Source organism: Homo sapiens, chromosome 4 (genome assembly GCF_000001405.40).
Source record: "Homo sapiens chromosome 4, GRCh38.p14 Primary Assembly".
NCBI classification, from domain to species: domain Eukaryota; kingdom Metazoa; phylum Chordata; class Mammalia; order Primates; family Hominidae; genus Homo; species Homo sapiens.
In genome coordinates, this window is record NC_000004.12 from 160606480 (window position 1) to 160621445 (window position 14966).

Consider the following 14966-nt stretch of genomic DNA (forward strand, 5'->3'; position numbering starts at 1 on the left):
TTTTTAGGAAATGTCTGTATCTGTGAAAAATATAGTGGACACAGCCTAAACTGCTCTCCAAAGAATTGCACTTTTGTGTAATCCCTCTTAAGTGTGGATGGAATCTGATTTGATTATAGTCTGTAGAATATGAAAAGGGTAAAGGCATATAAAAACATAACTAAAATACAATGTCAGTTGATTTCAAGTAAGTTATCAAAAGGGAGAATATTCTGTGTGGGCTTCACTTCATCAGGATTAAGCTCTTAAAAAGAGGGACTGGGTTAGCAGCAATCCCATTACTGGGTATATACTCAAAGGATTATAAATCATTCTTCTATGAAGACACATGCATGCTATACAAATCATTCCATAAAGACACATGCACATATTGCAGCACTATTTACAATAGCAAAGACTTGGAAGCAACCCAAATGCCCATCAATGATAGACTGGAAAAGAAAAGGTGGCACATAAACACCATGGAATACTATGCAGCCATAAAAAAGAATGAGTTCATGTCTTTTGCAGGGACATGGATGACGCTGGAAACCATCATTGTCAGCAAACTAACACAGGAACAGAAAACCAAACACTGCATGTTCTCACTCATAAGTGGGAGCTGAGCAATGAGAACACATGGACTCAGGGAGGTGAACATCACACACCGGTCCCTGTAGTGGGGTGGGGGGGCAAGGGGAGGGAAAGCACTAGGACAAATACCTAATGCATGTGGAGCTTAAAACAGACATGACGGGTTGATAGGTGCAGCAAACCACCATGGCACATGTATGCCTATGTAACAAACCTGCACGTTCACCACATGTATCCCAGAACTTAAAGTAAAATAAAAATAAAAAAAGAGGGACTGGGTTAGAAAGATTCCCCTTCTGGACCTGAAGAAGCAAACAGCCATAGCCATAGCTATGTATGGGACACAAGGTAGGACACTGGAAGCAGATTAGGACCTAGGGACACCTTCTGGCTGACAGCCAGAACAAAATCGGAAATCTCAATGAATTCCATCAACAGCCTGCAGGAGTTTGGAAATGGATCTTTAGCAGTCTAGACTCTCATGAGAGCACAATATCAGCTGACACCTGAGTTGCAGCCTGGGGAGACCCTGAAACAGAAAATTCAGGTAGACCATGTCCAACTCCCGATTCATAGAAACCGCGAGACTATAGAAGTATGCTGCTTAACGCCCTTTATTTGTGGTAATTTGTTGCATGGAAGTAGGAAATGAATAGAGGTAACATTTTACATATAGGCGGGAGCAGCCTTGTTCATATTACTGTATAGACACTGAAGGGCAGTACCAGCAGACCACTTAGGGGAAGTCTCTTGCTACAGCATGGACATGGAGGCCCATATAACAAAGCTCCCCTGTAGGGTCCTGTGGTAGTTCCTCTTTCTTGTCTGGATATAGAAGTCTTTGCTTGTGAACTTCCTGAGGATATCTGTTTGTTTCTACTTGGAGGTGTGTGTGATAGTTGACCTTCTTTCCCAATCATATTTGTATTTTATGAGTGGCATTGCTTTTTTTCAGTCTCACACTCAACATGCCTCCTTTAACCTGTTTTTGTCATTTCTCTGTGAAGACTAAAATCCAGACTCTCAGATGGGATCAGAGACAGATGACCTCCACTTCCTTAACATTCCCTTAGTGTTTTGCATGTTTATTTAGTTCTTCCTCAGACAGAAAAAAATAACAAACATAACAAAAATGAAATCTTGTCTTCAGTTAAATGTAAGTGCCATAGCTATGAAAAGAGACAAAATGGTGAAGGGGATAATAATGTCTTTTTTTTAATATTATACTTTAAGTTTTAGGGTACATGTGCACATTGTGCAGGTTAGTTACATATGTATGCATGTGCCATGCTGGTGCACTGCACCCACTAACTCGTCATCTAGCATTAGGTATATCTCCCAATGCTATCCCTCCCCCTTCCCCCCACCCCACAACAGTCCCCAGAGTGTGATGTTCCCCTTCCTGTGTCCATGTGATCTCATTGTTGAATTCCCATCTATGAGTGAGAATATGTGGTGTTTGGTTTTTCGTTCTTGTGATAGTTTACTGAGAATGATGATTTCCAATTTCATCCATGTCCCTACAAAGGACATGAATTCATCATTTTTTATGGCTGCACAGTATTCCATGGTGTATATGTGCCACATTTTCTTAATCCAGTCTATCATTGTTGGACATTTGGGTTGGTTCCAAGTCTTTGCTATTGTGAATAATGCCGCAATAAACATACGTGTGCATGTGTCTTTATAGCAGCATGATTTATAATCCTTTGGATATATACCCAGTAATGGGATGGCTGGGTCAAAAGGTATTTCTAGTTCTAGATCCCTGAGGAATCACCACTCTGACTTCCACAATGGTTGAACTAGTTTACAGTCCCACCAACAGTGTAAAAGTGTTCCTGTTTCTCCACATCCTCTCCAGCACCTGTTGTAATGGGATCTAATTAAACTAAAGAGCTTCTGCACAGCAAAAGAAACTACCATCAGAGTGAAGAGGCAACCTACAAAATGGGAGAAAATTTTCGCAACCTACTCATCTGACAAAGGGCTAATATCCAGAATCTACAATGAACTCAAACAAATTTACAAGAAAAATACAAACAACCCCATCAAAAAGTGGACGAAGGACATGAACAGACACTTCTCAAAAGAAGACATTTATGCAGCCAAAAAACACATGAAAAAATGCTCATCATCACTGGCCATCAGAGAAATGCAAATCAAAACCACAATGAGATACCATCTCACACCAGTTAGAATGGCAATCATTAAAAAGTCAGGAAATAACGTCTTACTTCTCTCTTCAGAAGCATCAGAATCAAGATGCCTGCCCACCTGTGAGGATCTGTTTTCTCTAGAAGATTTATTATAAGATGAATCATTATCAAAATAGGAAAGTTTAATTTTCTGCTCTCATGTTCAATGAAAACATTAATATTTTTACCTTAATAATTATTATGGGTATACGAAAGAAATTATATCATTGTTAGGATCTATTAAATTTGCATTATAATATTGATTCCAAGAAGTGACATTTGACATTTTAGATGAATCGTTCTTGGAAAGGCCTGAAAATGGTCTATGCTTGAATTAAAAGTTCAATACAAAAATATGATAGGCCGACTAATTCATTAATTTGATGTTTCAGTTGTGCTACCTTTGAATTAAATATAGACCTGTGCATATTTTACACATATGTCATGCTGATAACCTTGTTATATTTATGCAGTTAGAATTTGAGAAATCAAGAAATTACTCAAATTTGTTCTCATTATTTTCCCATGATGTCTATACTTGGATCAATGCAATATTGTTTAAATATTAATAGATTCATTCAGTTTTACCCCAGGAGGTGAATAATATAATTACAGCTTTCCACAGGAAAGAAAACAAAGGCTTCTGGAAGTTCCGTGATGTTAGTATATTTACACAGCTAGCAAGTAATGAAGCCATGGCCTGTTTCCCTCACTGCACCTGAACTTAGGGGGTTTATCACTAGTTTTCACATGTCTTGTAACCTATACAACAATTTTATTCAAATTCGTAATATATTTTCTGACATTTTTGTAACTGCCAGTCATCTATCTGTTTACCTGACTCTTACACGAGACTATTAATCATCGATTAGTAATCTATTTCCTATCTATATTAATACTGCTTAACATGCTGGTCTACTTTCATGTAACTGTGAATTTTAAATGAGTTTTTTTAATTTGTCTTGCTAAAATGTAGAAAAATCAAGTTCTCCTAATTATCTAGTCAATTTTGTTTTGGTTTTATTTTATGGGCAAAAACATATTTGATGACTGGTGATGCATCTCATTATTATTCCAATTTTACATGTAATGGTTTTTCTCCCAATCTCTTAAGCAATGAAGAAAATAATGATACATCCTGAATGTATTTATATCTTAAAAATTTCTGTTTTGTTTCATTTTGGTCCTTAAGGATTGACACTGTGTGTAGTAGATATTTACGTGACAGATTTGACAGGTTAGGAGAGAAAGTGTAGAGTAAAAACACATTTCATTGTGGTCAATATAAACTAAAAAAAATGAGTGCTTATTCTTTTAAAATTTCCAAAGAATTTACAATACCAGTGAATTATAATATCTTAAATCAGATTAAATTTTAGGTTGTTTAAAATAAATAAATTAAATTCTCTAGGAAAGGTATAAACAATATAAGTTGACAGTATATTAAAAAGGGGAAAAGAACATAATTATAGTAAAATGATTCCTTCTTATAAATCTGTTATTTAATGTTTATTTTAATTTTAATTTTTTAATTTTTCATTGAGTTCTGATTTTAAATTCTGTGGTATCTCTGTCACCAGTTGATTCATTATAATAAGTATAGCAGAGGAAGCTATTTAGCTTGACAATTTTATCAGATAATTCTTTTCAGAATATAAGGCATTTACTGTAAATAAAATATTTGGGAGTTTTATGTAATATTTTGCAAGACAATTTAATCAGTGCCTCTGTGACATTTTTAAAACTCGGCAAAATTAGTAGAAAAACAAGTATAATTTAATTTACAACTTAATGCAGTTGAAATGTAATTTAATTTACAGTTGAATAAATAAGCTCTTTCTGTCATGTTTTCTCATTTTTTACATAGATATATTTTTAGGTTGAATATCTTGTTAATATTCAGGACCTTTTGACTTCTTCAACTTTATGCACTTCATGGACTCATTTTCCTTCTACTATGGTCATTTTCTCCACCACTATAAAATAAAGAGAATGAATTAATACTTTATGATTCTTCCAAACCCGGTGTTATTGTCAATTACTCCCAGAAGTGAGGAACTGAAATTGCTGATCTGCTAGGAACATGACACATGTGATACTCACATAAAGAACAGCCTGTATGACACACCCACCCTCCTCCTGTCCCACGCCCCTGCACTCAGCACTAAAGTGGTGATCACAACTAAAGGGAAAATGTTCAGTCAAAACTAGTAGTTGATGGTAGTAGTTATTAGTCTACAGAAAAGAAAAAAAAACTAGCAGAAAGATCTCAAAGTGTGAGATTCAAATTCTTGTCCTAACGCTGGTTTTTATTTTATTGGAAAGCTCTTATTTACAAAACAAAATTTGATTGGATGAAAGAAACCAGTGTTTTTCAAAATATATTGTGCACACAAATTACCTGGGATGTTATTAAAATGTAAATTCTGATTCCACAGGGTTGGAATGGAGTAAGCATCTGTATTTTCAATAAGTGCCCAGGTGCTGTTGATGTTGCTGATCCATGAATCATCATTTAGGTAGTAAGCATCTAAAATATTTCTCTGAGTTGTAAAATATTGCTTTATATTGCTATTTATTGACTTAAATTTAATCTATTGTGAGGCAGCATCAATGCATCCCACTTATAGGATTGTTGGTTTTGCAAAAGATAAGTATAAAGAATCGTGGATAAAGAGGGCAATTGTGTTTCTAATAAGGCTAGGGGACAAAATCATTTCTGGCTTTTGAAATATCAGTTCACATACATATACACTGGAATTAGGTAATAGTAGTTGTATTTTATTCTATGAATTAGTATCATGTAGAAAAACAATATAAAATACATATATATGTGGGTATATAATCAGTTATATATTACAGTATAGTAACTTTACTATGAATATAATGTGCCAAAACAAATTTACCATCCAAGGATTCCCTCCTAAAGTTCAATGAATCCATGCAACCAAACTTTCTACCTTGCCCCTCACCCACTGTGTTTGTTTCCTATCACTGCTATAACAAATTATAACAAATTGAGTGGTTTAAAATACACACACATTGATTCTCTCATAGTACTGGAGATCAGGAATTTAAAATGGGTACACAGCACAACATTCCTTCTGGATATATCAGGGGAGATTTTAGAGGAGAATGTTTCTAAAGGAGAATTTATTTCCCTGCTGTTTACAACCTCTATAGCCTTTCTACATTCCTTGGCTTGTGGACTCTTCCTCCATCTTCAAAGCCACCAGTATGTTATGGGTACATTTCTCTCTGACTTTCTTCCTTCTGCTTCTGTCATCACTTAACCTTCTATCTAACTCTAATCCTCCTGCCTCCCTTTTATAAAAACCCTGGTGATTACATTGGACTCACCAGATAACCCAGGAAAATTTCCCCATCTAAAGATGCTTAACTTAATTACATTTGCTAAATCCATTTTACAATGCAGGGTTATCTGTTCCCAGGTTCTGAAGGTTAGGACTGAACGTCTCCTGGAGCCATTATGCAGCCTACCACACTTGCTATATCTTCCAGAATTTTGGAGGAAGTAATTCATTCTGTCAGCTTCCGGCTGGAAAATGTTATCATGTGTCACCTCAATATGTGTCATCTCTGGTAATTATTGAAAAGGCTATTACATTTGGTCATTTATCTATTTATTTATTCATGCATTCACAATTATTTATTGAGCACGTCTGATATGGCATGGTCTGTGCTACATGCTGAGAACATGAGGATGAACCAACAGACATCATGTTTCACTCAACAAACATTTCTTAAGTCCTTCCCTGTGCCAGTCACTGCTCTAGTTGCTGGGAACACAGAAGTAATCAAGAGTTAAGGTTCCTATTCATTGCAAGCTTACATTATTATGTGGTAAAACATACACAATATAAACAAGTTAGAAATTTGTCAGACAGTGATGCCTTCCATGCAAATAGTTAAAGTAAGGTGTGATGTGACAGACATTGGCCAGGTAGTCATTTTGTATTGCTTTGGCAGGGAGGCTTCTCTAAGCTGGTGACATTTAAGCTGAGAGATGGATGACATTAATGCCCCAGTCATGCAAATATCATGTTTTAAACAAAGAAAGCAGCTACTGCAAAGCCCTTCAGGGAAAAGAGTTTGGCCTTTCCCTCCTAAGCATCAAAAGACATAAAGTGTAATGTCATTTTAAGTAAATAAGGTGAGGGCAATGAGTGAGGAATTGTCCAGTTCACAGGCAAGACTTAAGCTTTCCTGCATTAACAGGCTGGCTGGCTCACTTGCACTCACATTGAGATCCTCCTCTGTATGATCCCTCTTGTTCCACTTAGCCTGTCCACTGGGCCACCTTTCACCACAACCCAATTCTGCATTCTCTGTCTGCACATAAGGCCAATTTGGCTTCCCTCAAAAATTATTGCTCTTTCTCACACACCTCCTCTCCTCAGTGGCAACTGACTTTGTTTCCCATGCCACATCTAGATCCTTGTTCCTTTAGCCTTGTCCTCTGACTCATGTCATATTACATTATTTTTCTCCCTCATCATTCTCAGTATCCATCACTAACTTGCCAATTCCTTTAATAACCTGGTTCCTATAGCCATGTGCTATATGTTGAATTGTATCCTCCCTAAGTTCATATGTTGAAGTCCTAAACTCAGTACCTAAGAATGTGGCTTTACTTGGCAATAGGGTCATAGCAGGATGTAATGAGTTAAGATGAGGTCATTTGTGTGGCTCCCAATCCAATATGACTGTGTATTTATAAAAATAGAAAATTTGAAGACAGACACATGCACATGAAAAGAATGGCGTGTGAAGGGAAAGTGCCATCCACAGAGGGAAGATAATGTGAAGACACTGGGAAATACCATCTACACATCAAGGGGTGTCTGACGCTTCCGGAATCTAGGAGAGAGGCCAGAGACAGATCCTTCTCTGGCACCTACAGAGGGAGCAAGGCCCAGCTAACATATTAATTTTGGGCTTTTAACTGCCAACACCAAGAGAATCAATTTTTGCTCTTCCAAGTCATCCAGTTTAGGATACTTGGTGATAGCAGCCCTGGGAAACTCATATGCTATTGTGGGTCAGTTTATCACTCACATCCTCAAACCCTGGGGCCTGTCAAACCTCAAATGGTTGAATTATTTGAACTCTCTGACTACAATTTCCTATGAATCTAGCATGTTTCCTTGGCTATTCTCTCCAAACCTTTTCTTTGACCACGCTTGACCTCTCTACGTCTACCCATTGATTTCCTTCCAGTGTTCAGTCTTTTCCCCTTTACTGTGAACCCCCACATTGGCCTTTCATTTTAACTCTGCTCTTTCTAATAATTTTAACATCTTTCTTTTGTTCTCTGTGACAAACCCTTATTCAGAATAACTCCACTTTTTTGCTTTTGGCGCTCTTTAACTGTTGAATAAAGTGAAGGGAAAAAATAGTTTAAGCCTGGATAATTTTTATGTACAGTTGTTCATTTTAGGCAAAATATATGTAGAGTGAGAATCACAAATCTGTGCATACAGCTTGGTAAGTTTTGACAAGTACATGAACCCACATAGCCCACACCCCTATGAAAACATCATATATTCAAACACTCAAAAATGTTTCCTTATGAAACTTCTCAATCAATGACCTACCCATACTCTGAAGGAGCCAGGGTATTGCTTTGTGTGTGGCTTCTTCTTCCACTGAGAAAGAAAAATGAAAGTCATCCAAGCTATGTAAATCAGTGGCTCAATCCTTTTAATGGTGAGTGTAATTACTTTGTATAAATCTAACATAGTTTGATTCATAATTGTGTCCTGTCCGGGTTTTGGCTATAATGAACCAACTTTCCATAAACATTCCTGTGTGTACAAGCCCTGTGTGGATAGGTGTTTTCCTTAAAGTTGGATAAATAACTAGTTGCAGAATTCTTAGGTAGCAGGGTAAATGTATTTTTAACTTTATAAGAAATTTTCGTATCTTTACAAAAAAGGTTGAGGCATTTTACATCACTACCAGCAATAGATAAGAATTATAGTTGCTCTGCATTCTTGCAAATACTTGGTGCTTTTCACATTTATAGTTTTGGGTATTTTGTGTGTATATGGTGATACATAATTGTGAGTCTAATACATGAATCTTAATATTAATTGTCTTCAGTAACAACTAGCCCCTCAATTCTGATGGGAAAACACTGTGCCTCCTAAAAGAAAGATAAAAGTGGCTCTTGTCACTGGCCACCTCCCACAAATTCCATTCTACAGAAACTGAGTATGAAGAATTGAAATGAATGCGGCATCAAGAATCTAATAAATTGATGTTTAAAATAAAACTGAGAAACTCTCTCTATGATGTCCTGTCACTCCAACTAAAAACTTAATTCATCTGCCTGAAATTTTTGTCCACAGATACTTCTACAATTGAAGAGATACTCTTCCTATCTAAGGCAATTCTTGGACCACGTGATATGTCTTGGTGGCTCCTCCAGAGAAAAACTCTATTATACTATGTGCATAATGTATATATGGTAAAATATCTATGTATATATGGATATATTTTTAAGCAGAAATATTTTCTTTTATTACAAACACATATGTGTGACTAGTATTTAAAAAATGGCAAATAGGGATGGCTTACATAAATTCAATCATTTAAGCAGAGTGTGTGTGTGTGTTGAAGTAATTAAGCAGTGAGCCCATCCTAGACCAGGTACCTGCAGAAAAATATCTTATACTATGTATATAAAATAGAAAGATGTGCTACTTGTTACACAATTGGGGTATACGTCCACCAGTTTTGCTCTGCTGCAGTTTTAGGGTATGCTCAGCAGGTAGGGTCACTGGTGGCTAAAATTCCATTTTTAAGATCTTTAAATAGAGGCATTACTTTGATTTTTTTTTACAGATATTTATCATGTGATGGTAAGTGCATTTAAGGTTACAATATACATTCTCATATATTTAAGACTTCATTTGCTTTAGATTTTTTTATCTGGCAATAATAGAAAACAATTTTTGGCTGTGATAAAAGTGGCCTGTTTTCTCTGATCTCTATGCATCTCAAGGCCACTGCTGAACTCCTCAGCTCATATGACAGTTTCAGCTCATGACAGACAGATGTTACTCCTCTTCTTTCCTGTCCTGATACAGTATTTAAATGAGTGGTTTTAAGATTCTTCTTTCCTGCCCTGATATAGTATTTAAATGAGTGGTTTTAAGATTCATACTAACTGCCTGTATATGTCATGACTGTTTTGTTATTGCATGCTTGCTTATTTGTGTATCATCTATCTATCTATCTATCTATCTATCTATCTATCATCTATCATCTATCTATCTATCATCTATCTATCTATCTACATTACTTCTCAGCTGATTTAATTTTCTCAATGCCAACATTAACAGTGAATCCTCTGAAAGCCTACCAGAAGAAACTGAGTCATAGGAATACAGATGATCCTTGACTTACAATGATTTAACATGATTTCTCAAACTATGATAGATTTATTGGGGGTATTAAATGCATTTCAACTTACAATATTTTTAACTTGGGGTGGACTTATCAGATCCTAACCCCACTGTAAGTCAAGGAGCATCTGTACAACTTTCCTTGTAGGCAGTTTAATTATGAATGTCATAAACTATTATGACATTTTTTATACCGTTGGATCCATTTGGGGAAACTTCTATTGGGATTCAATTCCACTGAAATTCTATTCCATTGGCTAAATTGGGGGAGATATTTGTTAATTTTTTATATATTTAGGGGCTTTTGTTTGGCAAAAACTTATCTCTAAGAGAAGTTCACATTCCATCTGCTCTGCCTTTTTTTTTTTTTTTTTTCTTTTGAGACAGAGTCTCACTCTGTTGCCCAGGCTGGAGTGCAGTGAACTCTGCCTTCAGGAATAAAAAAAGTGTATCAATTTGGACAGTTAATTCAAGAACATTGAGTTAACCTTCCTAGATGATGGATTTATCAAAGAATTTAAAAACACGTTTGCATTAAGGCAAACACACTTATTTAACTTTTCTCTGGAACTGGCTGAGATGTAAACTTTGGTGTGTTTTTATCTCTGTAATAGGTAATAATTGCAACACAGATGCCAAGAAAGGGTCTTGAGTATAAAGAAATTGCTTTACTGACATGCAGATTGATGATCAAATACTATTTTTGTTCCATTTCCTCATTATTCTTTCATTTTATCTCAGCAAATAGTTATAGCTAGATTAATTCAATAATTCAGTAATTGCCAGACTGAAAATAACATTAGAAATACAATCTCTTGCTGTCAACTTCAAAGAAATTCTACTCCTGTAATAATTAGGAAAAAAGTGTAATTCAAAGATGTTCTGTTTTTTTGAGAAATACTTTACTTCATTAAATTGGAAGTAAGTAGGACAGAAAAAAATAGTTGATGTCATTCTCTCAACAGGGTGCATAACAAAATATAAAAATTAGTTATTAAGTCCAGTCAAATCAAATATCAGGCTGACAGAATTAGATTTTCCATTTGGGGTACAAGCTAAATGCAGGTAATTAATAGTAAAGGACTAATTCCAAGTTCTTTAAACCCCACATGAAATATGAAGCATATTTCAAAAATAAGATTTCTCTGTGAAAGATACAAACTGTCTATAAAGCACTTACCAGGAATGTTATCTAAATTCAAATAATTTTTGAATAATATCCATTGTAACTTTGTAGATATTTTTATCATTTCATGAAGAATGTTATAACATAGGCTTTGAGAAATTAAACATTTCTCTAAAATGCTGGATATATTTTCTCATATTATCATTTGATATTATATTAAACAGGATAAAATGATAACACAAATATTACTTTTAGTGCTCACTTTTTTTACCTTTTAATGTCTGTAAAACTAAGGTGCTTTTATAATTTGGTAATATGCCACAATTTCATTGGGTGCGTTGTAAATATTTGGTCTACAGGCTGCAAAAAAGTGTAATTGTCTTTTGGAATAAATGGCATTTTGAGGTTCATTAAAAGTGGTGTGGATGATGAAAAGTAATTGTAAGAGTAAGAAAATTATTTTTCTTAGATCATTAAAAACTCCATATTTTAAAGCTTAATTCTTATATATTAAAACATTTTAAAAATATAATTGAAATATAACCAATGTTATGAAATTCTGTTTCGTGTTCTGTAGAGCAGCTATTTATTATAATGTAGACACAAATCAGTCATAATATATTTGTAAGCAGAAAAGTAGTTAATAGGATTATGTAAATTGGTATATTTTGAACCTTGCTGTACAGTACTTGGCCAAAAGCTTCATAAAAAACTACTGTGCCTGAAAATGGCATCAGATTTATTAACACAAAATATGATTTAAGTGATTTTCTAACAACATTTTAAGGTAGCCTCTATGATCCTCAAAATAGTTGACATAATAATAATATTCCTTTATAATATAATTCATATTTATTTAAAGAAATATATGAATTTATAAGTGGCATGTTACAAACATATATGAAATGAAAATAAGGTAATAATGTTTTTATCAATTACTTTTGATAGCATCCTTAATGGACACATATTTCTATCTCCTTAGTGTGTAAATACAAATATTTTATATATGTCTTGAGGGAAGTTTTAGAAAAACAGATGTGTAGGACATTTTGGTATTGAAAGTGAATTATCATTTTGAAAAAGCTATCTGGAATGAATTCATTCATAAAACAAACACAAATGTCATATTAAAATTTTAATGGTGCTGGGCATGGTAGCTCATGCACCAATTTGGAAGGCCAAGGCAAGAGGATTGCTTGAGCCTAGGAGTTCAAGACCAGCCTGGGCAACAGAGTGAGAGACCTCATCTCTACAAAACATTAAAAAAATTAGCCAGTGTGGTGTCATCCATGTGTAGTCCCCGCTACTCAGGAGGTTACAGTGGTGTAATTTCTTGAGCTCGGGAGATCAAGGCTGCAGTGAGCCATGATGGTGCCACTGCACTCCAGTCTGGGCAACAGGGCAAGACCCCATCTCAAAAAAAAAAAAAAGTTTTGATGGGAGTTTATCTGTAAAAACAAAAATTCTAAAAATTTCTATTTACATTATATTTAATACATTTTAGATTATAATAAATTTTTTAAAGTGTCAAATGAACAAAATGATGAATCAGGTGCTAAAATTTTTTTGCCATAGGTATCTGACAATACTAGCAAGATAAATCTTCCTTCACTTCAGATTGAACTTTCGTAGTCTGATTACAAAATGTTTATTTTGCCAAAATATCTGAAGGCCTGATGCCTCTATTATTCATTCTAATGCTAACTGACTTTCTTTTAAAGGATTTAGCATACTATTATTTTTACTGATTTTTATCTTTTTCACCACTTTAATGACCAGGTGTCCAATGGTCAATGATTTTGTACATTTTGGTATTTATCTGATATTGTCAAATGTTTGATTTGATTTGCTTCATCTGATTTCTTTTAAATGCAATTACTTAACTTTGTGGATCTCTGTATCTTCTAACACATTCATTATTATGTGTCCCAGATAAGTTATTCAACTGATTTAATTTGTCACAACTTCTTAGAGGTAGAAATAATACAATCTTGCAATAATTATATATAAATAAGAGATATTTACATTGGCATTGATACATATATGCATATTAGTTTTCTAGCCATAATCAATTAGCACAGATTTGCTAGCTTAAATAACAGAAATTCATGTTCTCACAATTCTGGGGGCCATAAGTGAAGGGTGTCAGGAGGTTTGGTTTCTTCAGACTTCCCACCATGGTTTGCAGATGCCACCCTCTTTCTGCATCTGCACATGGTCGTCCCTCTGTGCATGAGCACCCCTGACCTCTCCTCCTCTTCTTACAAGGCCATCGTCATACTAGATTGGGGCCTCACTTTAAGGACTTCATTTTAACTTAATAATTTCTTTAAATAGTTTATGTTCAAATAAGTCTGCCTTCTGAGCTACTGAAGGTTAGAGTTTCCACATATGAATTTTAGGGAGATACAATTAATCTTAGAATATAGAGAAAAATTCAAACCTGATAAACCAAAACCCAGTGTATGAAACTCAAAGTTTCAACAGCATTTCAAATAAATAATTAAACTCACCTTCTTGCAGCATTTTTAATTTTCCTTATGACTTCTCTAAAATTATTTTTTTCTGGTTTCTATTCTGCTACACTAGTCATTCCTTCCAATTGCCTGTTCTTGCTCTTACACTTTTACTCACTCTCTAAATATTGTGAGACCCAGGAATCAGTGATGAGTGCTAGAGCCTCTTCTCCCTGCACTTGCTACATGAGTACTTTATGGCCATGAAGGCCACCTTTGAGACATATGCCCTAAATAGGCCTATTAATTACATTCTTTTCTCCCAAACAATCCTTTGTATAATTTTCTCTATCTTACATAATGATATCAATTGTTCAAAGAAAGATATAAAGTCTTTTTTATTCCCTTCTTTACCTTAACTTTCACATCTAATTCATTAGCAAGTCCGGTCAGCAATAATTCCAAAATCCATCCAAATATAGTCCACATCACTCTCTATAATTTTCACCATAGATGAGAAAATATAATTTTCTCCAAATAGGTTCAAATTTCCTAAGATTCTTAATTCCACATTATTCATTATTTCATCAAATCTGCAAAAAGAAGTCAGAATAATCTTTTATACTATTATATACTATATAATTTTGTATTAGCCAATTATAGCTGAAGAAATAAACACCTGCCTATTAGCAATTAACAGACACTGCTAGTAAAAAATCAGTAAGGACATGGTTGAACTAAATAGCACTATCAATTAACTAAATCTAATTGACCTTTATGTAATACCTAATTTAATGACAGTGGTATATGCATTCTTCTCTAGCTCACATGAAATACTCACCAAGATAGACCACATCTTGGGCCACAAAATGTACTTTAACAAATTTAAAATAATAATGATCATACAAAGTATGATGACATAGCATAATATAATTAAACCAAAAATTCAAAGCAGAAAGACACCTGAAAAATTCCAGAATACTTGGTGATTAAATGACACACTTTTAAATAATACATAAGTTAAGGACAAGGCCACAAAACAAATTTAAATCTAGTTTAAATTAAAGAAATTGAAAATGAAACTTAATTTGTAGGATGCAGCGGTGCTTTGAGGAAAATTTATAATATAAAATGCATATATTAGAAAAGAAGAAAGATCTGCAATCTACAACCTAATCTT